Source organism: Homo sapiens, chromosome 16, assembly GCF_000001405.40.
Source record: "Homo sapiens chromosome 16, GRCh38.p14 Primary Assembly".
NCBI lineage: Eukaryota > Metazoa > Chordata > Mammalia > Primates > Hominidae > Homo > Homo sapiens.
This window is the reverse complement of record NC_000016.10, coordinates 89,508,768-89,533,615: the sequence shown is the minus strand read 5'-3', so window position 1 is coordinate 89,533,615 and position 24,848 is coordinate 89,508,768. Positions and strand designations below refer to the sequence as shown.

At 50.4% G+C, this 24,848-nt stretch overlaps 1 protein-coding gene across 8 annotated transcripts in view, besides 7 other annotated features; it reads right to left on the bottom strand.

The window, feature by feature from the left end:
* Positions 1-24,848, bottom strand: part of SPG7 (SPG7 matrix AAA peptidase subunit, paraplegin) — a 49,381-nt gene that overhangs the window by 24,153 nt on the left and 380 nt on the right. For 7 of the 8 annotated variants that reach the window (NM_001363850.1, XM_017023598.2, XM_047434538.1 and 4 more), the window contains exons 2-9: positions 23,024-23,126; positions 20,579-20,668; positions 9,369-9,610; positions 7,148-7,287; positions 4,037-4,139; positions 2,808-2,933; positions 1,550-1,712; positions 980-1,153 (exon numbers count right to left, since the gene is read on the bottom strand). In NM_001363850.1, coding sequence (NP_001350779.1) covers positions 980-1,153; positions 1,550-1,712; positions 2,808-2,933; positions 4,037-4,139; positions 7,148-7,287; positions 9,369-9,610; positions 20,579-20,668; positions 23,024-23,126 — 1,141 coding nt within the window. Of the gene's footprint in view, positions 1-979; positions 1,154-1,549; positions 1,713-2,807; positions 2,934-4,036; positions 4,140-7,147; positions 7,288-9,368; positions 9,611-20,578; positions 20,669-23,023; positions 23,127-24,848 lie in introns of those variants that run through there. The other variant, XM_047434537.1, reaches the window with a different exon arrangement.
* Positions 7,826-7,935: an enhancer, noted in NCBI's record as "active region_11416". NCBI's record gives its function as "activates an Ori minimal core promoter by ATAC-STARR-seq in GM12878 lymphoblastoid cells {active_cell/tissue: GM12878}" and the evidence as "EXISTENCE:reporter gene assay evidence [ECO:0000049][PMID:35858748]".
* Positions 7,986-8,095: an enhancer, noted in NCBI's record as "active region_11415". NCBI's record gives its function as "activates an Ori minimal core promoter by ATAC-STARR-seq in GM12878 lymphoblastoid cells {active_cell/tissue: GM12878}" and the evidence as "EXISTENCE:reporter gene assay evidence [ECO:0000049][PMID:35858748]".
* Positions 10,416-10,972: an enhancer, noted in NCBI's record as "H3K4me1 hESC enhancer chr16:89589052-89589608 (GRCh37/hg19 assembly coordinates)". NCBI's record gives its function as "activates a minimal SCP1, AML or CMV promoter by ChIP-STARR-seq in naive H9 embryonic stem cells {active_cell/tissue: H9 hESC(naive)}" and the evidence as "EXISTENCE:reporter gene assay evidence [ECO:0000049][PMID:30033119]".
* Positions 10,973-11,530: an enhancer, noted in NCBI's record as "NANOG-H3K4me1 hESC enhancer chr16:89588494-89589051 (GRCh37/hg19 assembly coordinates)". NCBI's record gives its function as "activates a minimal SCP1, AML or CMV promoter by ChIP-STARR-seq in naive and primed H9 embryonic stem cells {active_cell/tissue: H9 hESC(naive and primed)}" and the evidence as "EXISTENCE:reporter gene assay evidence [ECO:0000049][PMID:30033119]".
* Positions 13,447-13,947: an enhancer, noted in NCBI's record as "H3K4me1 hESC enhancer chr16:89586077-89586577 (GRCh37/hg19 assembly coordinates)". NCBI's record gives its function as "activates a minimal SCP1, AML or CMV promoter by ChIP-STARR-seq in primed H9 embryonic stem cells {active_cell/tissue: H9 hESC(primed)}" and the evidence as "EXISTENCE:reporter gene assay evidence [ECO:0000049][PMID:30033119]".
* Positions 13,948-14,448: an enhancer, noted in NCBI's record as "H3K4me1 hESC enhancer chr16:89585576-89586076 (GRCh37/hg19 assembly coordinates)". NCBI's record gives its function as "activates a minimal SCP1, AML or CMV promoter by ChIP-STARR-seq in primed H9 embryonic stem cells {active_cell/tissue: H9 hESC(primed)}" and the evidence as "EXISTENCE:reporter gene assay evidence [ECO:0000049][PMID:30033119]".
* Positions 24,720-24,839: a silencer, noted in NCBI's record as "silent region_7912". NCBI's record gives its function as "represses an Ori minimal core promoter by ATAC-STARR-seq in GM12878 lymphoblastoid cells {active_cell/tissue: GM12878}" and the evidence as "EXISTENCE:reporter gene assay evidence [ECO:0000049][PMID:35858748]".

Below are 24,848 nucleotides of genomic sequence, written 5' to 3'. Positions count from 1 at the left end.
CAGGGGGCACAGGGAGAGACGTGGCAGCACAACCAGACAGACTCATTACACCTAAAATTATGAGTGGCACAGCTCTTCCAGAATCTGTCTAGCAGTCCCTCTGGGTTTTGCTGCAAAGCCCCTAAAAAACAGTAATAATGAAAAAAAAAGCCTGGGTGCTAAGGCTCACGTCTGTAATCTCAGCACTTTGGGAGGCCGAGGCAGGCGGATCACGAGGTCAGGAGATCGAGACCATCCTGGCTAACACGGTGAAACCCCGTCTCTACTAAAAATACAAAAAATTAGCCAGGCGTGGTGACAGGCGCCTGTAGTCTCAGCTACTCGAGAGGCTGAGGCAGGAGAATGGCGAGAACCCGGGAGACAGAGCCTGCAGTGAGCCAAGATTGTGCCACTGCGCTCCAGCCTGGGAGAGAGAGCAAGACTATCTAAAAAAGAAAAGGAAAGATTACATCTGACGTACCACTTATATTCCTACTTGTCTTTTTTACTATTGTCTTGACCTTTTTTTAATTAAAAGCTGTGTTTTTTTTTTTTTTTTTTTTGAGATGGAGTCTCCCTCTGTCACCCAGGCAGGCTGGAGTGCAATGGTGAGATCTTGGCTCACTGCAACCTCCACCTCCCGAGTTCAAGCGATTCTCCAGAGTACTAGCGATTATAAGCACCTGCCACCACACCCGGCTGACTTTTGTATTTTTGTAGAGATGGGGTTTCAGCATGTTGGCCAGGCTGCTCATGAAATCCTGACCTCTGGTGATCCGCCTGTCTTGGCCTCCCAAAGTGCTGGGATTACAGGCGTGAGCCACTGCGCCGGGTCTGAAAGCTACATTTCTATTTTTTTTTTTTCTTGAGACAGAGTCTCACTCTGTCACCCAGGCCGGAGTGCAGTGACACGATCTTGGCTCACCACAACCTGTTCTGAAAGACATCGGAAAACCTCCTCTGATGGTGCAATGGGGGTGCGGGGCGCACGAGCACTGACCATCCATTTCTACCAGAAGCTGGTTGAGCGTCTGCTCCTCCTCCGTGTTGGAGAAGCCGGACATGGTGGTGGAGCGCTTCTTGCCCACCGCGTCGATCTCATCGATGTAGACGATGCAGGGGGCCCGGGCTCGGGCTTCCTTAAAGAGGCTCCGCACACGGGCAGCGCCGAGGCCTGAGGGGACACAGAGAGAATCAGGAAATGGGCAGTTAATAAAAAACAAAGCCTCTTCCTGTACCCGGGCCAGACAAAGTTCTACACCAAGGACAACTAAAGCTACCAGCTCCATTCCCTACAAACAGACACACGGCAGCTGCTCGCGGGGGCCCCTGGCCACCCCTCAGGGTTCACACGCACCGTGCTGGCCCCCCAGGCCACAAGTGACGGTGGCTTTGAAGCAAACATCATGTGCTTCGCAGACAAAACCCCTCCGCCAACCCAGACCTCGCTTTCCTTCTCTACTCCCCCACCCACCCGTGTCCCTTTCAGTCCAGACACCAGAGGAAGGATGTGTGAAAGGAGCCAGGTAGTCAGCCAAGCCCACCCACAGCCCCCAACCACAGCACCTACCTCCAATGACCTCCACGAACTCTGGGCCGGCCATCGCCAGGAAGGGCACCTGAGCCTCCGTGGCCACCGCCTTGGCCAGCAGCGTCTTCCCACAGCCGGGGGGGCCGAGCAGCAGTGCGCCCTTTGGGACCTTGGCGCCAAGCTGGAGGAAGCGTTCTGGGCTCTGGACGGCAGCAGACAATGCAACACTAACTACTTGGGGATTCCGTTTTTTTGTTTTTTAGAGGTAAGGTCTCTCTGGGTCACGCAGGCTGGAGTGCAGTGGGTGCCATGATAGCTCACTGCAGCCTCAAACTCCTGGGTTCAAGCCACCCTCTCACCTCAGCCTCTCGAGTAGCTGGGAATATACAGGCATGTGGCACCACGCCCAGCTACTTTTAAAAACTTCTTGCAGGCCAGGTGCGGTGGCTCACACCTGGAATTCCAACATTTTGGGAGGCTGAGGCAGGCGCGTAGCTTGAGATCAGGAGTTTGAGACCAGCCTGGCCAACATGGAAAAACCCCGTCTCTACTAAAAATACAAAAATTAGCCGTGCATGGTGGTGGGCGCCTGTGATCCCTGCTACTCGGGAGGCTGAGGCAGGAGAATCACTTGAACTGGGGAGGTGGAGGTTGTAGTGAGCCGAGATTGTGCCACTGCACTCCAGCCTGAGTGACAAAGTGAGACTCTGTCTCGAAAAAAAAAATTAATTAAATAAAAAAATGTTTTGCAGAGACAGGGTCTCACTGTTGCCCAGGCTGATCTCCTACTCCTGGGCTCAGTCACTCCCCTGCCTCAGCGCCCCGAGGTGCCAGGACTACAGGCGTGACCCACTGTACCAGGCCTGCAGAGGGAACACATGTCAGCCCCTCGAGGTGCCAGGACTACAGGTGCGACCCACCGTACCAGGCCCGCGGAGGAAACGTGTAAGTGACGCACGTGATAGGCAGCTCATGCACTGCCACCAACTGGCTAAGGTGTTTATGTGGTTCTGGAAAAAGCACAGAGCTTTGCAAGGGATGAAGGGCCCAGGACGGCTAACGGCACAGTAGGCATGGGTCTTGGCAGCCTCTGCTTGGCTGAACCATGTGCACGAGGCTTGTGCTGCTGGTTGAACAGGCACCAGCACCTGCTTGGTGTCCCCATGGGACATGGTAGAGGTCACCGCCAACCCACGACACGTCATCGATGGAATTCCAGGTCCCGCAGGAGCCCTTCTGGGAGAGGAGGACGGCCGGCCTCTGCTCACACCTCCCTCCCGGCCCACGCTGCTTTCACCTTCAGATAATCCACAAACTCGCGGACTTCCAGTTTGGCTTCGTGCATTCCTGCCACGTCTTTGAAGCTGACTCCTTTCCCCATCTTCCCATCCACAATGGTGAAACGAGCCATTTTAAGCTGATTCTGTGCAGAAAGAACAAAGTGCAAGGAGCTGGGCGAAGTCAGGAAATCAGCAGCACGATGCCAGCGCTCAGCCCACGCACCTGAGCCGCCCCAACCCCACGTCTCCATCCTAGGATCCCAAGGCTTCACTCATGTCAGGCTGACGAGGCTCACAGTCAGTCTTCAAGCACAGAAGGGAAATGTTTCGTCATTAATTAGTAAGAAACTTATCTAGCAATTTGCTTTAAAAAAAATTACTCAGCCAGGCATGGTGGCTCACGCCTGTAATCCTAGCACTTTGGGAGGCCGAGATGGGCGGATCACGAGGTCAAGAGATCGAGACCACCCTGGCTAACACGGTGAAACCTGTCTCTACCAAAAATACAAAAAAATTAGCTGGGTGTGGTGGCAGGCACCTGTAGTCACAGCTACTTGGAAGGCTGAAGCAGGAGAATCGCTTGAACCCAGGAGGCAGAGGTTGCAGTGAGCTGAGATCGCACCACTGCACTCCAGCCTGGGCAACAGAGCCAGACTCTGTCACACACACACACACACAAAAAAGAAAGGCCAGGTGCAGTGGCTCATGCCTATAATCCCAGCACTTTGGGAGGCTGAGGCGGGAGGATCACCTGAGGTCGGGAGTTCGAGACCAGCCTGAACAACATGGAGAAACCCCGTCTCTACCAAAAATACAAAATTAGCTGGACGTGGTGGCGCGTGCCTGTAATCCCAGCTACTCGGGAAGCTGAGGCAGGAGAATTGCTTGAATGCGGGAGGTGCAAGTTGCGGTGAGCTGAGATCGCACGGCTGCACTCCAGCCTGGGCAAGAAGGGCGAAACTCCGTCTCAAAAAAAAAGAAAAGAAAAACGCAGATTCAACTGCCCTGTAATCTCACAAGGCTCAGGCACCCCAGAGTTAGGGGTGAGAGGCCCTCAGGCAACATTGGTTACTACACGCCTTACAGCCGGACCATGGGAAAGGAAGGTGAGCTGCTGTCTAATTGTGGCTTCAGGCTACTCTCTGCAACAGGTTTTCCCTGTGTATTCATCGTATAGCTTATGGGAAAAGTATTCAGCAAACACAAACCAGAAAGAGTTCAGAGAGCTCTGATTTACAGAACTTACAAAAGCACTGAATCCACCTTCCCTTCCAGTCATCCCGGCCAGACGGAAAACATACCACAGGATGGCCAGGCCCACTGCCGTCATCCCCACAGAGTACAGGGCACTGCCGGAAGAAAGAGAGGCAGGCACAGGCTCAGACGGTGTCACGTGACAGACGCAGGCTTCCAAATCAGAACCACTGCTGGCAATGTTTCCAAGATGAGACGAGGAATCCCTACGTCTGGGACCGATGCGCAGATTAAAATGGTTGTGGAAATGGGTTCTCTCGTCTCATTCTCGCTGACTGTGCTTTTTCATGAAAGCTTCCCAAATGGTCAGACTGAGTGTGCAGATGCCGGAGATCTAGCCAGCCTTGTGACAATAACAACGTTCAGGTTTTTCTATTTTCAGTATATTTTGTTTTCAAATGTAAGCGATCAGCTTCAATCAGGCAGGCAAGATCAGCCTAAGAGTAAAAAGCAAATCTCAGGCCGGGCGCGGTGGCTCACGCCTGTAATCCTAGCACTTTGGGAGGCCGTGGCGGGTGAATCACAAGGTCAGGAGTTTGAGACCAGCCTGGCCAACATGGTAAAACCCCATATCTACTAAAAAAATACAAAAATTAGCTGGACATGGTGGCATGCGTCTGCAATCCCAGCTACTTGGGAGGCTGAGGCAGGAGAAATGCTTGAACCTAGGAGGTGAAGGCTGCAGTGAGTCAAGATCGTGCCACTGAACTCCAGCCTGAGCTACAGAGCAAGACTCCATCTCAAAAAGAAAAGAAAAATGTAAGAATAAACCCTGTGTCTACTAAAAATACAAAAAAACTTAGCTGGATGTGGTGGTGTGCATCTGTAGTCCCAGCTACTCAGGAGGCTGAGGTGGGAGAATCACTGATCCTGGGAGGTCGAGGCTGCAGTAAGCTGAGATTGCACCACTGCACTCCAGCCTGGGCGACAGAGTGAGACCCTGACTCCAAAAAAAAAAAAAAAAAAAAGCAAATCCCAGGACTTTTGCCCTCATCCTGAGGAGGGGCTGCCCTGGGCCTGCCCCAACCCTCCATCTTCTGTACATCATCAGCCTACAAAGACACGAGAATGGGCCTGCCCCAACCCTCCATCTTCTGTTCTGTACATCATCGGCCTACGAAGACATGAGAATGGGCCTGCCCCAAACCTCCATCTTCTTCTTTTTTTTTTTTTTTTGTTTGAGATGGAGTCTGGCTCTGTCACCCAGGCCAGACTGCAGTGGTGCTATCTTGGCTCACTGTAAGCTCCGCCTCCCGGGTTCACGCCATCCTCCTGCCTCAGCCTCCCGAGTAGCTGGGACTACAGGCACCCGCCACCGCACCCGGCTAATTTTTTTTGTATTTTTAGTAGAGACGGGGTTTCGTCGTGTTAGCCAGGATGGTCTCGACCTCCTGACCTCGTGATCTGCCCGCCTCGGCCTCCCAAAGTGCTGGAATTACAGGCGTGAGCCACCGCGCCCGGCCCAAACCTCCACCTTCTGTCCATCATCGGCCTACGAAGACACGAGAATGGGCCTGCCCCAACCCTCCATCTTCTGTACATCACTGGCCTACAAAGACATGAGACACACAGCCTCAGAGCAGTGATCTTCCAGGTGTTGCTGGGTTATAGAATTAAAGGTGCATCTTTTTTTTTTTTCTGTAGAGATGGGGTTCTCCATGCTGCCCAGACTGGTCTCGAACTTGTGGGCTCAAGAGATCCTCCCTGCCTCAGCCTTCCAAAGTGCTGGGATTACAGGCATAGCCACTGCACCCGGCTAGAGGTACATTTTGATCAAGGGAGTACTTGCCAGTCACTGGCATTCTACATCTTCAGAGATTACAAGTCAACAATAAACCTCTGTTTCAGTACCCGCTGGCCCCTCATTTGTCCTACTAAGGAACCTGTCAGGGTCCATGGTCCATACGTGCTGACAGCTCCCACCTGGTCTGTTTCCCTCTCAACACTGAAATGAGAATTTCACCTTCCTGTGTCTACCCTTTTCCCGTTCCATTTTCCTGTCTGTAGAAGAGAGCAAGCCCAGGACATTATCACGGTCCTCCTTGACTTTCTTTCTTACTGCTAGGCTGATCTTGCCTTGCTAACTGAAAGTGATCGCTTACTTTTGAAAACAAAATATACTGAAAATAGAAAAAGCTGAACGTTGTTATTGTCACAAGGCTGGCCAGATCACTAGGTATCTCCGGCATCTGCACACTCACTCTGACCATTTGGGAAGCTTTCATCAAAGAGCACAGTCAGTGAAAATTATACAAGAATGTGAATTCAGAAGCGCCACACAACTAAAGAAAGTGACTAAACAAACTCCAACGGACTTGCACACGGTTGGCCTCCACAGCCACAGGTTTCATCTCTGCAGGTTTAACCAAGCACAGAATGAATGTATCTGGGGAAAAACGTGCATCTATACTCAACATGCACAGACACATTTTTGTCATTATTCCCTAAAGTATAACAACGATTGAAATAGTATTTACAGGGTATTGGGTATTATTATCAACCTACAGATGATTTAAAGCATATCAGAGAATGTTCTTAGGTTACACACAAAGATTTCGGCATTTTACACCAGGGGCTGAGACTTCGCCATCCTACGTCGGGGGCTGAGACTTCGCCATCCTACGTCGGGGGCTGAGACTTCGCCATCCTACGTCGGGGGCTGAGACTTCGGCATCCTACGTCGGGGGCTGAGACTTCGGCATCCTACGTCGGGGGCTGAGACTTCGGCATCCTACGTCGGGGGCTGAGACTTCGCCATCCTACGTCGGGGGCTGAGACTTCGGCATCTTACGTCGGGGGCTGAGACTTCGGCATCTACATCAGGGGCTTAGACTTCAGCATCCTACACCAGGGGCTTAGGCATCCTCAGGTGCTGGTATCCTTGGGAAGTCCGAGAACCAGCCCCCATGGATACCCAGGGATAACTATATTTCCAAATCTCCTGGCATTGTATCATTCACTTCTATATTTATTTAACCCTCCCACTAAAAAGTCTAGTTAACTATAGGCAAAGACAGTTTGAGATTTTTGATTGCAATCTGTTTCTCAGATTACAAAGCCAAGTTAGGTTTAGTTCAAGCATCAACAAATACATCCAACATACTTTCCAAAGAATCCTGTTCGCTTGTAGGAAACTGGGATCCTGTCCTTGGCCTCGATATTCAGCTCATCTTCAGCTGCTCGAAGCTTCTCTTCAAACTTGTCAATATTTGCAACCTGCATTCGGTACATCAAGGCTAGCCGCTGGGGGGCAGAAAGGAGAGGGGACCATGAGAAACGCAGGGACAGACGAGCAACCCTACAGTCAACAGAGAGCCCGCCTGGAACTCATGGTAATGACAACCTCAGCATTGTGAAGAGGACACCATTCAGAAACTAGAGGTGATTCCTAACGTACGACGGTTCCACTTACGGTCTTTCCATTTTACAATGGTGTAAAAGCAATATGCACACTAAGCTCCTTGACCTACGATGGGGCTACCTCCCAGTGAGCCCCTGGGAAGCTGAAAATATCCTAATTCAAGGAACATCTGTACTTCCAAGTCTAAAAAATTTGTTTCCTCAACCACAATTTGAGAAATAAAATTTCAACAGATAGACTTTCTATTTTCCACTCATAGGAAAACTAAGAAATGGAGGGATGTCTGCAAGTTAGCTCACAGCCCCACGTCTGATGTGTGCCTCAGACTCAGCTACACCTGCAGACACAGCAGGAGCCCCCCAGAGGCCGGCGAGGCTGCAGCACGGGACTGAGGATGGCAAAATCAAGACTACGGCCAAAAACAGATGTTTTAGGAAACTGCGGCCACAGAGGGTTCATGTTTAACCACAAAACCTGAGACTGTTCATCCCTCACACCAGGACACCAACAGGTCCGTCTCCCTGGCACACGATTCTCCAAACGCAGCGTTTTCCTAAGTAAACTCCGCATGTTTAGCTCAGATTTCAGCATGACTGGACGGCAACACCCCAAAGGGAGGACACAGACGGACTTGCGGGACTCTCTTTGAGGTTAACTGGAAACTCCAGCAGAGGACAGGGATGAGGGGTGGGGATGGCACCTGCTGCTCCCTCACTCACACCCCAAACTGCTAAGACAGAATTCTGAGCATTTTCTCTTTAAGGCAGCTGTTTTATCAGGTGACTCGTCTAGAGCTGAGCATAGTGTTGTAGGTTAAAATAACCTTCCAGACTGAAATAATCAGGCATCCACCAGAGGATTTACGTGAATGAGCACCGTCTTCTGCACTTAGCCATGGTGTATTTTAAGAACAAGGTTTCCTGTTTTTAAAAATAGCAAGACAGCGCCAGGCGTGGTGGCTGACGCCTGTGATCTGGCACTTTGGAAGGCCAAGGTGTAAGGATCACTTGAGGCCAGGAGTTCAAGACCAGCCTGGGCAATATAGTGAGACCTCATCTCTCCAAAAAAACAAAAAATTTAAAAATTAGCCAAGTGTGGTGGTGCGCGCCTGCCATCCCAGCTACAGGGGAGGCTGAGGTGGGTAGATCACCTGAGCCCAGGAGATCAAGGCTGCAGTGAGCCGACATCACACACACCCCTGCATCTCAGCCTGGATGAGACAGAGGGAGACTCTGTCTCCAAAAAAAAAAAAAAAAAGCAAAAGAAAAGGAAAAAGCATTCTGAATCCTGAGTAACCCAGCAAAGGGGCAGAAGCTCTGGTGGAGGCCACGGTCATTTCCAGACCCGGGGGTGGGCCACACCAACCCCAGACCACTTTCCTAATCACTGGTCCACACATTACCCTGGGTTAAATTGCTCCAAGCACATGTTCTGACGCACTCTTGGAATCTAAAGTTACCAGATCTGGCTGGGCACGATGGCTCACGCCTGTAATCCCAGCACTTTGGGAGGTCAAGGTGGGCAGATCACCTGAGGTCAGGAGTTCGAGACCAGCCTTGCCCAACATGGAGAAACCCCATCTCTACTAGAACTACAAAAATTAGCCAGGCGTTGTGGTGCACGCCTGTAATCCCAGCTACCCGGGAGGCTGAGCCAGGAGAATCCCTTGAACTCGGGAGGCAGATGTTGCAGTGAGCCAAGATCACATCACTGCGCTTCAGCCTGGCCAACAGAGCGAGACTGTCTCAAAAACAAAAACAAAAACAAAGGCAACCAAATAAATGCAAATCAATGGGCTGAGGTCCCTGCATGAGAAAGAAGCATGCCCTCAATCACAGGTATCCAAAAGGATGGCAACAGCCAGCGCCCACACCCTCATTCACAGGAGCCCACAGCCTCACTCTCACAGGCTGCCAGCCTGTGCCCACACCCTCACTCACAGGCCTCCCGCACCCTCACTCACAGGCCGCCCAAACACCACGGCTCCAGGGTGCAGGTAGACTTCCACCACGTCGCTCTCAGGCACCACCTGGACGCGCTGCACCTCGCCCTTGGCCAGCATCTCGTGGACAAAGTCGTTCCAGGAAATGCTGCCTCCGCTGGTGCTGAGAGCATTCAGGAGGCTCATGACAACCGCGATGACCAGCAAGGTGCGCAGCCGCTCTCGGTACATCTGGTCGTCCCGCTCACGGCGTCTCCTCTCCTCTGAGCCGGCAGAGAAGCAAAAGGGAGAAACAAACACATGAGCAACAGACACGGGCGACATCCAGAGCTTCCTCAGGAAAGCTCAGCTGGACGGGGAGGGGCAGCGTCCTGCACAGAAGATCCTGCACTTCCTCCAATTCTTCCCTGACGTTATCAGAGACAAAGACTAACGCTGTGCTGTTCGAGGTCACCCACACTTCATTCGCTGAGGTCACTTCAGTGAGGAGCAGGAGTGGTTCCCACCTAAGAGGAAACCATTTCTAAATCGAAACACTTAGACCTGGGCACAACGGTGCACGCCTGTGGTCCCAGCTACTTGGGAGGCTGAGGCGGGAGGTTGAAGCTGCAGTGAGCCGTGATCGCGCCACTGTGCTCCAGCCTGGGTGACAGAGAACGACCCTGTCTCAGAAAAGAAACGACCGTCCCAGGCCGTCCGAGCCGTCACAGATGCAGTCAGCTCTCCTGCTGCAAAGTGCAAGCTCACAATGGCCATGAATCCAGTTGCTTGGAGTTTGATCAAATACTAAATATCAAAACATACACAAAAGTTATTAAAAACGATTAAAACAAATACCTTTTACCACAACCTGCCTCAAGAAATAATACCTTCCCAATCCCACTGAAGACCCTTGTGCCTTCTCTCTCCCTACCCAACAACCATTCTGAACTTTTTACTCATCAGAATGACTAACATTTAACAGAAAGTTGTAGGTTATCACAACATCTGAAAATAGAACTTAAAAATATCATGAGATACACTGTTGAGTCTAAAGGCATATACTCCAGACCACTTGACTCTAGAATTTTCCCAGAGACCAACTCTTTATGAGAAGCACCAGGTGAATTCTTCTAAATTACCTTCCTCAGTTATTAACACCCTACTGAAGACACGGTGGCATTATGCTTAGCTCTCAGAGGATGGAAAAGACATTCGGCCCCTGTTCTCCAGACATTGGGATACCTCGAGGGGAGGTGGACAGGTGCACCCTGCAGACAGCAAGAGACCGACTCAAGGCCGGCCTGGGGCCAGCACAGAGGGGATCTGGAGCAGCGGGCGCTCACTCACTCTTCATGGAGGCCTGCAAGGAGGCGTGGCAAGCAGCGCCAGGCAGCGAAGCCAGGGAGACGCCTCTGAGGAGGGCATGGTGGGGAAAAGGACAGCCAGGATGGCCACTGGGCAAAATGCCCGCAGGGGTCACTTCCCACAGTCCAGGGCCCAGGTGGGGAGTAGTCCTGCAGCCAGACAGGCTCCCAACAGTGACCACCACAGGCCAAGCCACAGTCTTCCCTCAAACCCCCTAGGCAGGTCAGTCTCTCCTCCAGTTCTGGGAAGGGCGTCATCTGCAGAACACCTGCGCCTGCGGACAAACCACCACGGACACAGCAGCGGGAACGACATCATCTCCAGAACACCTGCGCCCCTGCGCCTGCGGACACAGCGCCACGGACCCAGCGGCGGGAACGACGTCATTTCCAGAACACCAGCGCCTGCGGACAAACCGCCACAGACCCAGCGGTGGTAACGACGTCATTTCCAGAACACCTGCGCCTGCGGACAAACCGCCACGGACCCAGCAGCCGGGACGAGAGGCTCACGTCTTCTTGAGATTCACAGCTCTTCTCCTCCTGCATTGTCTTGCGGGGGCTTCATGCTGGGATCAAAGCCTGGCCTGGGCACGTCCCATGTACCACCTTCCTTTCCAACAATCATTTTAGACGAATTCAAACAATTTTTAAATCGGCTTAAAAACACAAAATGAAACCCACTAAAAAGGTGGCAAAATAATTACTTTGAAAACATGAAGGTATATTTTAGATATCACTGTTTTGTTACAATCGATCCTAATCGTGCATCTAATACTTAAATTTCATATTCACAAAGGCAATTATTTAAAGCCCACCGCTTATTTCAGAGAGCAAATTTATGTTCTCAGGTGAGTATCCAATTGTTAGAAACTACTTCCAATATTTAATTACCAATTGTGTTTTCTACTAGAAACATGGGGTGCACTGGGAAACTGAGAAATACTTCCCAGCAGCTACTCTAGCTGCCCTGGAGGGCCAATCCAGAATCACGACCCACACTGCTCCCGGGAAACTGAGAGAAATACTTCCCAGCAGCTACTCTAGCTGCCCTGGAGGGACGATCCAGAATCACGACCCATGCTGCTCCTTCAGCTCTGTGACTGTATCAACAGTGTCCCATTTTCTTTTCTTTTTTATTTTTGTTGAGATGGGGTCTCTCTCCGTCACCCAGGCTGGAGTGCGGTGGTGCACTGCAGGAGAAACCCACAGTGCTTCATGAGCATATCTGGGCTCACTGCAGCCTCCACCTCCTGGGCTCAAGTGATCCTCCCAACTGAGCCTCCTGAGTAGCTGGGAGTACAGGTGCACGCCACTGCGCCCGGCTAATTTTTTAAATTTGAGTAGAAGATGAGGTCTCACTATGTTGCCAAGGCAGTCTCAAACGACTGAGCTCAGGTGATTCTCCCACCTCAGCCTCCCAAAGTGCTGGGATTATAGGCATGAGCCAAATCCCAAATAATTTCTAATAAAAGTAAAATGACAGCTTGGATTTGGTCTACAATAAACACCTCTTCTGCTTTCGTCACAAACGTGTAGCCCTTCTCCAGTGAGGGTCAGCCAGGCATGTTAATTCACAGGTGTGTGACACAGGCTGGCTCTTAGCCCCGCTGTGTCAGGGAGCAGGATCTGCCCAACAAGACGCTGAGGCCACACAGCCCTCGGGAGAGCCTAGCCCCATCATGACACCTTCTGCTGAAGCTCCTTAGGTTCCAATCATTTCACTGTTCAGTGAGCCCTCTCTAGCCTCCGTGTCTTCCTCGGTGGCAAGAAGGAGGCCAACAGAGCACCCAGGACACAGGATCACAGAGAAGGCTCTTCCAGCCACAAGTGAAGGCACCGCAGGGAAAAATCCATATGCTCTGTGAGCACACGCAGGTGGATGACCTAGAGAGCCAGGCCAAGGAGGGTCCACAAACAGGCCTTGCACACGTTCTGGGGTGGCGCAAACCAGTACAACCCTGTCTGATAACTGCCTGGCAAGATGTATCAAGCGCCATAGACAGTATTTAGTTTCTTTAATTCAAAAATCCTACTTCTGAAACTTTAACCTAAGGAAACGAACCATAAGAAATTCCAGCCGGACGCAATGGCTCACACCTGTCATCCCAGCACTTTGGGAGTCGAGACAGGTGGATCACTTGAGTCCAGGAGTTAGAAACCAGCCTGGGCAACATAGCGAAAACCCATCTCTACAGGGGGAAAAAAAAAACACAACGTAGCTGGGGCTGGGCGCAGTGGCTTACGACTGTCATCCAGGCACTTTGGGAGGCTGAGGTGAGTGGATCACCTGAGGTCAGGAGTTCAACACCAGCCTGGCCAACATGGTGAAACCCTGTCTCTACTAAAAATACAAAAATTAGCTGGGCGTGGTACCACGCGCCTGTAAGCCCAGCTACTAGGGAGGCTAACGCAGGAGAATCGCTTAAACATGGCGGGCGGAGGTTGCAGTGGGCTGAGATCGCGCCACTTCACTCCTGCCTGGGCAACGAAGAGTGAAACTCCATCTCAAAACAAACAAACAAACAAACAAACAAACAAAAGCACTCTAGGTATAAAAGGAACTTCCTCTGCCTGCAAGACCCCCCATCTCCTTCCCATGAAGTCCTTAACTTCTGTTCAACCCAAACGCCCAGCGCGTCCCTTCCACTGCGCTGCCCGATGCACCTCTTCCCGCCACGCCTTCAGTGTTGTGGTCATTTGTGCCTGCGCACCCAGGGCTGCAGGTACCTTCCTCCTGTGTGCTTCCAGGACGGTTATTCAGGATGCTGAGACGAGCCGCCAGCTCACACAGAACTGGGGTGTGACCTCAGCACCTGCTGCCTGTGTTCCTGAGGCTGTCCGCCAAGGCGCTCAGGAAACGCACATGCCTCCTGAGCCTCATATGCACACCTCGTGGACGGCAGCCTGCAGGACCACTGGCAAGTTTTGTTGCCAAAATCCCTCTTCGAGGAAAAAAAGTCAATTGTTGACAATTAGATATTATGATCACATAACTCACTTCAATCAGTCATCTAAAAACAAACGGCTGATACCACTGAGTCTCAAGGAAGCAGCCACAGGGGCCACATCAGGCTCATCCCACTTGGAAACCGCCCCTGAAGACAGCAGCCCCGAGCGCCACAGCTGACCCTGACAGAGGAGAGGCCTCCGGGGCAGGGGCTCCACCTTGACGCATTCACACTTCACAGTGGAAAGGGGCCTTCTCCACAAGAAGCTGTGTGAAAATGTTAGCAACTGCTGCCGGGCGCGGTGGCTCACGCCTGTCATCCCAGCACTTCGGGAGGCTGAGGCGGGTGCATCACCTGAGGTCGGGAGTCTGAGACAAGCCTGACCAACATGCAGAAACCCCATCTTTACTAAAAATACAAAAAATCAGCCAGGTGTGGTGACGCATGCCTGTAATCCCAGCTACTCGGGAAGCTAAGGCAACAGAATGGCTTGAACCCGGGAGGCGGAGGTTGCGGTGAGCTGAGATCGCGCCACTGCACTCCAGGCTGGGCAACAAGAGCGAAATTCCGTCTCAAAAAAAGAAAAAAAAAATGTTAGCAACTGCTTTTTTTCTAGTTTTCTAGTTCTAGTTAGCAACCGTGAAGTAACTGTACCTTCACATGTAGTTGTAAGAAATGGCACAGAGCAGGCTGGGCGCAGTGGCTCACACCTGTAATCCCAGCACTTTGTGGGGACCGAGGCAGGCAGATGATGAGGTCAGGAGTTCGAGACCAGCCTGACCAACATACTGAAACCCCATCTCTACTAAAAACAAACAAAATTAGCTGGGTGTGGTGGCACGCGCCTGTAATCCCAGCTACTCAGGAGGCTGAGGCAGGAGAATCGCTTGAACCCGGGAGGTGGAGGTTGCAGTGAGCAGAGATCGAGCCACTGCACTCCATCCTGGGTGACAGAGCCAGACCCCATCTCAAAAAAAAATAAATAAATAAAAATAAATGACGCAGAGCAATACCTTGTCCCCCTGCTTCCAGGGGTTCCATCTCACAAAACTATGAACAGTATCACAGCCAGGCTCTCCCACCACGACGGTCCACCAAGCTCCCCGGGGTCATCCCATGACACACGCGCAGTGTGTGCCCACCGCAGCTGAGGCAATCCAACCACAGGCTCCCTCCGGCTGTCTCCTTCCCCCATCCTTAACCCCTAGCAACCACGAATCTGTGTTCCATCTCTTTAATTTTTGTCTTTAGAGAATGCTGTATAAAAAAAAAATCATACGGCATGTGATCTTTCAGCTCGGCCTTTTTTCACTCCGTATAATTCCTTCTGGGTTCACCCGCGTTATCAGTGAGCGGGGCCTTTTTTCCACTCCGTGTAATTCCTTCTGGGTTCACCCGCGTTATCAGTGAGCGGAGTCTTTTTTCCACTCTGTGTAATTCCTTCTGGGTTCACCCGCCTTACCAGTGAGCAGGGTCTTTTTTCACTCCGTGTAATTCCTTCCAGGTTCACCCGCGTTATCAGTGAGCGGAGCCTTTTTTCACTCCGTATAATTCCTTCCAGGTTCATTCGTGTTATCAGTGAGTGGTGCCTTTTTTCACTCCGTATAATTCCTTCCAGGTTCACCAGTGTTATCAGTGAGTGGTATTCCAAGCAAATACTTTTCGGGCAACCACTACTTACAATCATTCTGCACGGCTGGCAAAGCTGTTTCTAAGCCACATTCAGTATCGTTCTTTCATTTAAGGAGGTGGCAAAAGAATCTTCATCTGAACAGACGCCATGCAGTTCAGCATCAGACCAGGGAGAAGGCCTGCCTGAGGGCCGGGACTGTGTTGTGCCTGTCTGATCAAGTCAGCAGTCCTGAAAATCCACACAAACCAACTCCCGCCGAAACCACAGCAGAGGGCCCAGGGGAAACCCAGAATAGGTTCTCACAAGAAAGATTATTTGGCTCAGTAAACAATTATCCTCTAACGCAAATTTAACAGACATTATTTTCTCCAAGCAAACTATAGTTCAACCCAAAACAGAATAAACATAAAACAATCACTTGGCCGGGCGTGGTGGCTCACGCCTATAATCCCAGCACTTTGGGAGGCCGAGGTGGGCAGACCACAACGTCAGGAGATCGAGATCATCCTAGCTCACATGGTGAAACTCCGTCTCTACTAAAAACACAAAAAATTAGCCGGGCATGGTTGCGGGCACCTTTAGTCCCAGTTACTCGGGAGGCTGAGGCAGGAGAACTGCTTGAACCCACGAGGTGGAGTTTGCAATGAGCCGAGATCGTGGCATTGCACTCCAACTTCGGCAACAAGAGCGAAGCTCCATCTCAAAAAAAAAAAAAAAAAAAAGACGACGACAATTACTCAGATGCAGGAGAGACACGCATGTCAGCTACACGCAGCCTCATCCATAAGCAGATGCAGGGCCCAGGAGAGCAAAGGGCATGGTGACTGCCTGCCCTTCCTCACGCCAGGGCACCTGCCAATGCAGCAACGACTAGGATTTCACTGGACAAGCACCTACCACATGCCAGGAGTGATAACCAGGAAGCTGCCATGGCTTTGCCTTGCCATGGCAACGGAGGCTGCCATGCCATTCCTTCCAGGAACCATGACAACGGAGGCTGCCATGCCATTCCTTCCAGGAACCATGACAACGGAGGCTGCCATGCCATTCCCTCCAGGAACCATGACAACGGAGGCTGCCATGCCATTCCTTCCAGGAATCAGAGTTATTAGTGGGGCACACGTCCCTGGTTAACCGTAACACAACACACAAGGCTGAATGCAGAATCCGCACAGGCCACACAATTCTTCCCTCTTCTATGACAGGTGACCCTTCAGCAACACAGGAGTGAGCTATGTATGATCACGGACACGTGGATTTTCTTCCACCCCTGCTACCCAAGACAACAAGACCAGCCCCTCGTCCTCCTCCTCAGCCCACTCAAGGTGAAGGCCATGAGGATGAAGCTCTTTATGGTGATCCGCTTCCACTGCATAAATAGGAAATATATTTTCTCTTACGACTTTTTTCTTTTTTCTTTTTTTTTGAGACAAGAGTCTCGCCGTCGCTTTTTTCTTTCTTAATTTTTTTTTTTGAGACAGAGTCTTGCTGTGTCGCCCAGGCTGGAGTGCAGTGGCGCGATCTCGGCTCACTGCAAGCTTCGCCTCTTGGGTTCACGCCATTCTCCTGCCTCAGCCTCCCGACTAGCTGGGGTTACAGGTGCCCACCACCACGCCTAATTTTTTTTTTTTTTTGTATTTTTAGTAGAGACAGGGTTTCACCGTGTTAGCTAAAATGGTCTCGATCTCCTGACCTTGTGATCTGCTCGCCTTGGCCTCCCAAAGTGCTGGGATGACAGGCATGAGCCACCACGCCCGGCCTTTTCTTTCTTAATTTTTTATGTTTGAGACAGAAAGGTCTCACTCTATTATCCAGGCTGAAGTGCAATGGCACAATCTCAGCTCCCTGCAACCTCTGCCTACCAGGTTCAAACGATGCTCACGCCTCAGACTCCGGAGTAGCTGGGATTACAAGCACGTACACCACACCTGGCTAATTTTTTTTTTTTTTGGTATTTTTAGTAGACAAGGGGTTTCACCATGTTAGCCAGGCTGGTCTCGAACTCCTGGCCCCAAGTGATCTAACTTTCTTCTTTTATTAAAAAAACGAACGGCCGGGCGTGGTGGCTCACACCTGTAATCCCAGCACTTTCGGAGACCAAGGCGAGTGGATCACCTGAGGTGAGAAGTTTGAGACTAGCCTGACCAACGTGGCCAAACCAGGTCTCTACCAAAACTACAAAAATTAGCTGGGCTTGGTGTTGCATGCCTGTGATCCCAGCTATTCGTGAGGTTGAGGCAGGAGAATCACTGGAACCCAGGAGGCAGAGGTTCCAGTGATCTGAAATTACGCCATTGCACTCTAGCCTGGGAAACAAGAGTGAAACTCCAGGCTGGGCACGGTGGCTCACACCTGTAATCCCAGCACTTTGGAAGGCCAAGATGGGCAGATCGCCTGACATCGGGAGTTTGAGACCATCCTTGCCAACATGGTGAAACCCTGTCTCTGCTAAAAATACAAAAAATTAGCTGGGCGTGGTGGCGCACGCCTGTAGTCCCAGCTACTCGAGAGGCTGAGGCAGGAGAATCGCCTGAACCCAGGAAGCAGAGGTTGCAGTGAGCCGAGATCGTGCCATTGCACTCTAGCCTGGCGACAGAGCGAGACCCCATCTCAAAAAAAAAAATAATAATAATAATAGTAATAATAATAATAGAAATGAGGGTCTTAAACTCCTGGGCTCAAGTGATCATCCCACCTTGGCCTCCCAAAGTGCTCAGATTACAGGTGTGAGCCACCGCACCTACCCAGCAAATTTTTTTTTATAAAAAGGTCAGCCGGGCGTGGTGGCTCACACCTGTAATCCCAGCACTTTGGGAGGCCGAAGTGGGGAGATCACGAGGTCAGGAGTTCAAGACCAGTCTGGCCAACATGGCAAAACCCTGTATCTACTGAAAATACAAAAATTAGCTGGGCATGGTGGTGCATGCCTGTAATCCCAGCTACTCAGGAGGCTGAGGCAGGAGAATCGCTTGAACTCAGGAGGCAGGGGTTGCACTGAGCCGACATCGCACCACTGGACTCCAGTCTGGGCAACAGAGCGAGACTCCGTTTCAAAAATAAATAAATAAATACAAAATAAAAGTTAAAAAAAAAAAAGGTCCAGGGCTGGGTGCGGTGGCCCACTCCTGTAATCCCAGCACTTTGGGAGGCTGAGGCACGCAGATCACGAGGTCAGGAGATTGAGACCATCCTGGCTAACACGGTGAAACCGAGTCTCTACTAAAAATACAAAAAATGAGCCGGGTATGGTGGCGGGCACCTGTAGTCCCAGCTACTCGGGAGGCTAAGGCAGGAGAATGGCGTGAACCTGGGAGACGGAGCTTGCAGTGAGCTGAGATCACACCACTGCACTCCAGCCCAGGCGACAGAGCGAGACTCCGTCTCAAAAAAAAAAAAAAAAAAAGGTCAAGGCCAGGCACGGTGGTTCACACCTGTAATCTCAGCACTTTGGGAGGCCAAGGTGGGTGAATCACCTGAGGTCAGGAGTTTGAGACCAGCCTGGCCAACAAGACAAAACCTCATCTCTACTATACAAAAAGAGGGCCTGACGCGGTGGCTCACGCCTGTAATCCTAGAACTTTGGGAGGCCAAGGTGAGCAGATCACAAGGTCAGGAGATCGAGACCATCCTGGCTAACATGGTGAAACCCAGTCTCTAATAAAACAAAAAAATTAGCCGGGTGCGGTGGCGGGTGCCTGTAGTCCCAGCTACTAGGGAGGCTGAGGCAGGAGAATGGCATGAACCCAGGAAGTGGAGCTTGCAGTGAGCCGAGATTGTGCCACTGCACTCCAGCCTGGGCGACAGAGCGAGACTCCGTCTCAAAAACAAACAAACGAACAAAAAACAAAAAATTAGCAGGGTGTGGTGGTGAGCACCTGTAATCCCAGCTACTTCGGAGGCTGAGGCAGGAGAATTGCTTGAACCCGGGAGGGGGAGGTTGCATTGAGCTGAGATCGCACCACTGCACTCCAGCCGGGGCAACAGAGTGAGATTCTGGCAAAAAAAAAAAAAAAAAAAAAAAAAAAAAAAAGTCAAAGGACACACTTTATTGAAATGTTGAAGTATACAGGGAAAGAGCCCTGAAATCAATTCAGAACAATTTTGTATGAAGATTCAGAAGTCTTTTAGAAGATAGTTCTGAGTGGCTGTAAGCATTGACACTTACCGTAAAACCAACAGTAAGCTGAAGATGAGCCTAAAGCCAGAAACGCCTAAACTGAATCCACCTGCGAAACACTGGTGTCCCTTCCCGCAGTTATGACCTCCCCTCGAGAGCTCAGTAGGGAGAGTCAGAGCTCCTCTCTCACAGAGTAAAGCTGTCCCTGGCCTTGGCAAATGCAGCGTCTCACACAAAATCAATCAAGAAGGACGTCACTCCTGAAACAAACTCCTGCTAAACTCGAATTCACAATAATAATCCCCTCATCCAATAGCTGAACCATCATTTCCACATCCTGAAAGCTTTCCTGAAAAGCAACATGGGAAGAAAAAGTCCTTATGACAGTTCCTCACTCGCCTTCCAAGGCCAGGTGCCTTTCTAGAAAGATGAGCTCTGCTGAGCAGGGCGTCCATCTTAACAACGCTGATTTCCAGCGAGAGGCCTCAAGGATCCAAAAGCAAAGCATTCCTGAAGCTGAGTTCAACCCTTCTGCCCCCTGGGGCTGTGAGTCTGAAGCTGAGCCTCCAACTCCTGGGCTCAAGCTCCTCCAACTCCTGAGCTATGACTACAGGTGCACACCACCACGCCTGGCCAATTATTTTCTTCTTTTCTTTCTGTATAGATAGGGTCTTTTTAAATTTAAATTTAAATTTTTTTTTTTTTGAGATGGAGTTTTGCTCTTGTTGCTCAGGCTGGAGTGCAATGGCATGATCTCCACTCACAGCAACCTCCACCTCCCAGGTTCAAGCAATTCTCCTGCCTCAGCCTCCCGAGTAGCTGGGATTACAGGCGTGTGCCATCACGCCCGGCTAATTTTCTATTTTTAGTAAAGACGGGGTTTCACCATGTTGGCCAGGGTGCAGGTGATCCGCCTGCCTCAGCCTCCCAAAGTGCTGGGATTACAGGTGTGAGCCACCACGCCCAGCCTTTTAATTTGCAGTGAGACAGGGTCTCGCTATGTGGTATAGGCCTCAAGTGATCCTTCCACCTGGGCCTCCCAAAGCGTTTCGATTACAAGTGTGAGCCACTGCACCCGGCCCATCTCCCCATTTTCCAGACTGGTTTCACCTTGCTAAAAGGAAAACAGAAATGTAAAGACATCCAGAGGCAGCTACTGACTGAAGAACATCAGATGAATATACCTTCGTCCTCTTCAGGCGCCTTCCCCTTCGACTTATCCTTCTCCTTATTCTTCTGCTTCAACCTTGAGGTGTTAAAATAGAAAGTACCACCTATGAGAAATAGAGAAAGGATTTAACAATTAAGTTTTGCAACCACAGGGGAGGCATACAGGACAACAGTGTACTCCTAAATAACCAAAGCAAAACAAAAACCATCTGAAAAACCTACTTATATCCATAAGATTTATAAATATGAAATAAAGCATATCCTATATCACTTAGTCCAGTATTTCCTAATTACAAAATAATAAACTATTTTAACTTACGTTAAATATCTTTGCTACTTAAATTGCTAATGTGAGGGAATAAAAAATAGTTATGAACACAAATTTGGGAAAATATCACGAATCCCTTTAATATATGAAGTTGCTTTAAAAGAACTTAAACACGCCAGGCGTGGTGGCTCATGCCTGTAATCCCAGCACTTTGGGAGACCGAGGCAGGTGGTTCACGAGGTCAGGAGTTCAAGACCAGACTGGCTGAGATGGTGAAACACTGTCTCCACTAAAAATACAAAAATTAGCCGGACGTGTTGGCAGGCGCTTGTAATCCCAGCTACTTGGGAGGCTGAGGCAGAATTGCTTGAACCCGGGAGGCGGAGGTTGCAGTGAGCTGAGATCACACCACTGCACTCCAGCCTGGTTTACAGAGCAAGACTCCGACTCACAAATGGTTTCCAGACAAGTGGCAACAGCAGCAGCCCAGCCACCACCAAGAGGGGCCGGCACGACACTCCTCACACAGAGCTGTCTCAAAATCTGAACAAATCAGCGTTTACAAATGGGGGAGGCCAGGTGCAGTGGCGCACGCCTGTAATCCCAGCACTTTGGGAGGCCGAGTCGGGTGGATCACGAGGTCAGGAGATCGAGACCATCCTGGCTAACATGGTGAAACCCCGTCTCTACTAAAAATACAAAAAATTAGCCGGGCATAGTGGCGGGCACCTGTAATCCCAGCTACTTGGGAGGCTGAGGCAGGAGAATGGCGGGAATCCTGGAGGCAGAGCTTGCAGTGAGCGGAGATCGCGCCACTGCACTCCAGCCTGGGAGACAGAGCAAGACTCCGTCTCAAAAAAATAATAATAAACAACAACAACAACAACAACACAAAAATGTAGCTGTACGTGGTGACACATGCCTGACTTCCCAGCTACTCAGGACGCTGAGTGGGAGGAGAACCTGGGCCCAGGAGGTTGAAGCTGCAGTGAGTAGAGATTGCACCTGGGCAACAGGGCAAGACCCTATCTCAAATAATAATAAAAAATAATAAAAATAGGGAAAGAGTTTCACAACCATGACCTGAAATGTAACTTTCTTCACAAAGACATGAACGGGTTCACCAGTGAAACGGCCCCGGTTGCCACTTGCATGTCACCTCAGGCTTAAGGAGGCTGAAGCATGTGCTTCCTGTTTCACAGCCACAGGCACCCGTGAGCTGACGTTAAACACTGACAGCAGATGAGCCAGTTGCTGATGCACGGCCAGTGGGCACGGCACTCTCCCTACCCATGTGTTGGCACAAAGCTGTTTAATGTTAGTTAGGAGTAGAAATATTTTACTTTTTCCCTGTTCCAACTCCATAAAGGGGAGCGTGAAATAAAAGTGAGAGGTGTCAATCCTTCAGGTTCTTTAACCTAAAGCCAAGAGAGACCAAAGAATGTCACAAGGTTTCATTAAATGATTTATTGAAGAGCAAATTATTTGCAGGGTATTTTTAGTGATTGTGTGGATATAAAACATCTGTAGCCACTTTGTAAATCCTTACTAAACATTCTTGCAGCTGACTAGATAACACGAAAAACCTTTTTCAAGCAGCCCAATTACTGGAATACAGCAGAATTTTTTTTAAAAAAGGACAACTTGGCCAGATGCGGTGGCTCATGCCTGTGATCTCAACACTTTGGGAGGCCAAGGCAGGCTGATCGCTTGAGTCCAGGAGTTTAAGACCAGCCTGGGAAACGTGGCAAAACCCCATCTCCACAAAAAATACCCCCCAAAAATTAGCTAGGCGCTTTGGTGTGTGCCTGGAGTCCTGGCTCTATGGAAGGCTGAGGTGGGAGGATCACTCCAGCCTAAGAGGTCAAGGCTCTGCAACTGGGGGATAAGGGAGTAAAGAGGCCCCTTTGGGCCTGGACAACAAAGTGAGACCTTGTCTCTACAAAAAACAATTAGCCGAGTGTGACGGTACACGCCTGTAGTCCTAGCTACTCCGGAAGCAAAGTGGGGAGGATCCCTTGAGCCCAGGAGTTCTAGGCTGTAGTGAGCTCTGATCACACCATTGTACTGCACTCCAGCCCGTGCAACAGGGCGAGATCCCGTCTCTAAAATAAAAAAAGATCAGCCTCCCAAGTAGCTGAGGCGGTAAGTGTGCAGTCATGCTCAGCTGCTTCTTTAAACAGATACATACCTAAAAGTTGCCAGAGTCTGACTGGATTCTGAACTAAATGTTGTTTCAACAACAATCCGTTGATCCCTTCAAAGGTAGGGGTTAGCAGTCTCAATTGTAAGCTCTGAAAAAAAAAAAAAAACAATACTGGAGGTCACACCAACATTAGAGAGTACCAAAGCAATGCAGACTAAAAATCGTTTTTAAAAGTTCAAATATATAATTATTTGTAATATCTACATTGCCCTGAAATATAAAGTAATAGTCTGAGCAATAGGTCAAAGCTTTAGGTAACATCAAAATGTCAAAAGCAAGTAAACAGGTTAAAACACAGTAATTGGCCAGGCGTGGTGGCTCACGGCTGTAATCCCAACACTTTGGGAGGCTGAGGCGGGTGGATCACATGAAGTCAGGAGTTTGAGACCAGCCTGGCCAACATGGTGAAACCTCATCTCTACTAAAAATACAAAAATTAGCCGGGCGTGGTGGTGCACACCTGTAATCTCAGCTACTCAGGAAGCTGAGGCAGGAGAATCGCTTGAACCCGGGAGGCAGAGGTTGCAGTAAGCCGAGATAGCACCACTGCACTCCAGGCTGGGCAACAAAGGGAAACTCCATCTCAAAAAACAAACAAATAAACAAACAAAAAATCACGATAGTGGCCAGGCACGGTGGCTCATGTCTGTAATCCCAGCACTTTGGGAGGCTGAGGTGGGAGGATTGCTTGGGCCCAGGAGGCAGAGGCTTCAGGGAGCCATGATCAGGCCACTGCACTCCAGCCTGGGCGACACAGCGAGATTGTCACAAAAAAAAAAAAAAAAAAAAAAGAAGAAAACAAAACACAGAAGTACATTGGCTGCTATCCCATGGCCTGAAGCTTCTGCAGGAGAAAGGGAGCAGCCCAGCTCTCCAAAGGCCACAGTGGCTGCCCAGACACGGGGCTCCTGCTGTCACCAGAGAGTGGCTCCTTGTAGAACATTTCCAGGTACCAAACCAGTTAACAAGTATATACTTTCAGAGTTCTCCTTTCAAGATAAACATTTTCCCATTTAAATATGTTTTATGGCCGGGCGCGGTGGCTCACGCCCTGTAATCCCAGCACTTTGGGAGGCCGAGGCAGGCGGATCACAAGGTCAAGAGATGGAGACCATCCTGGCCAACATGGTGAAACCCCGTCTCTACTAAAAATACAAAAATTAGCTGGGTGTGGTGGCGCGCACCCGTAATCCCAGCTACTCAGGAGGCTGAGGCAGGAGAATCGCTTGAACCCGGGAGGCGGAGGTTGCAGTGAGCCAAGACCATTGCACTCCAGCCTGGGCGACAGAGCGAGATCTCTGTCTCAAAAATAACCGAAAAAACAACAACCTAAAAGGTGTGGGCTAAGCTCCTAGGCGAGGGCTAGGAGAAAAAAACATCAGCCCAAAAGCTGAAGGACACAAGGTCTGGTTTTCGGGAGGAGATGCTATCCTATCCTTAGCAGAACCTGAAACAAGGCCGCACTACAGGGGGTGCTCAATGACTGTATCAATAACGTGCCGAGCTACATGACAACAGCAAAATGCAGCTACAGGGTATTTTGCGGACACAGAAACGTTCTGGGCCCCCTACTCGGCAATAACCACCCTAACTGGAAGGCGCTGGAATTCCTGGTGACGGAATCGATCCACAGGCGTGGACTGTAAATTAGTGCTACGCCGGAAACCGTTACTGGATTCCACTTTAAAAGGCGAGGAAGACGGGCGGAGAACATCCACACACAACAGACGGGTTGGGAAAGTCCACGCCGAGGACTGCGCGGATCCCAGCCCTGCCTCTTCCCGGCCCGCCCAGCGCCCACGATCCAGGG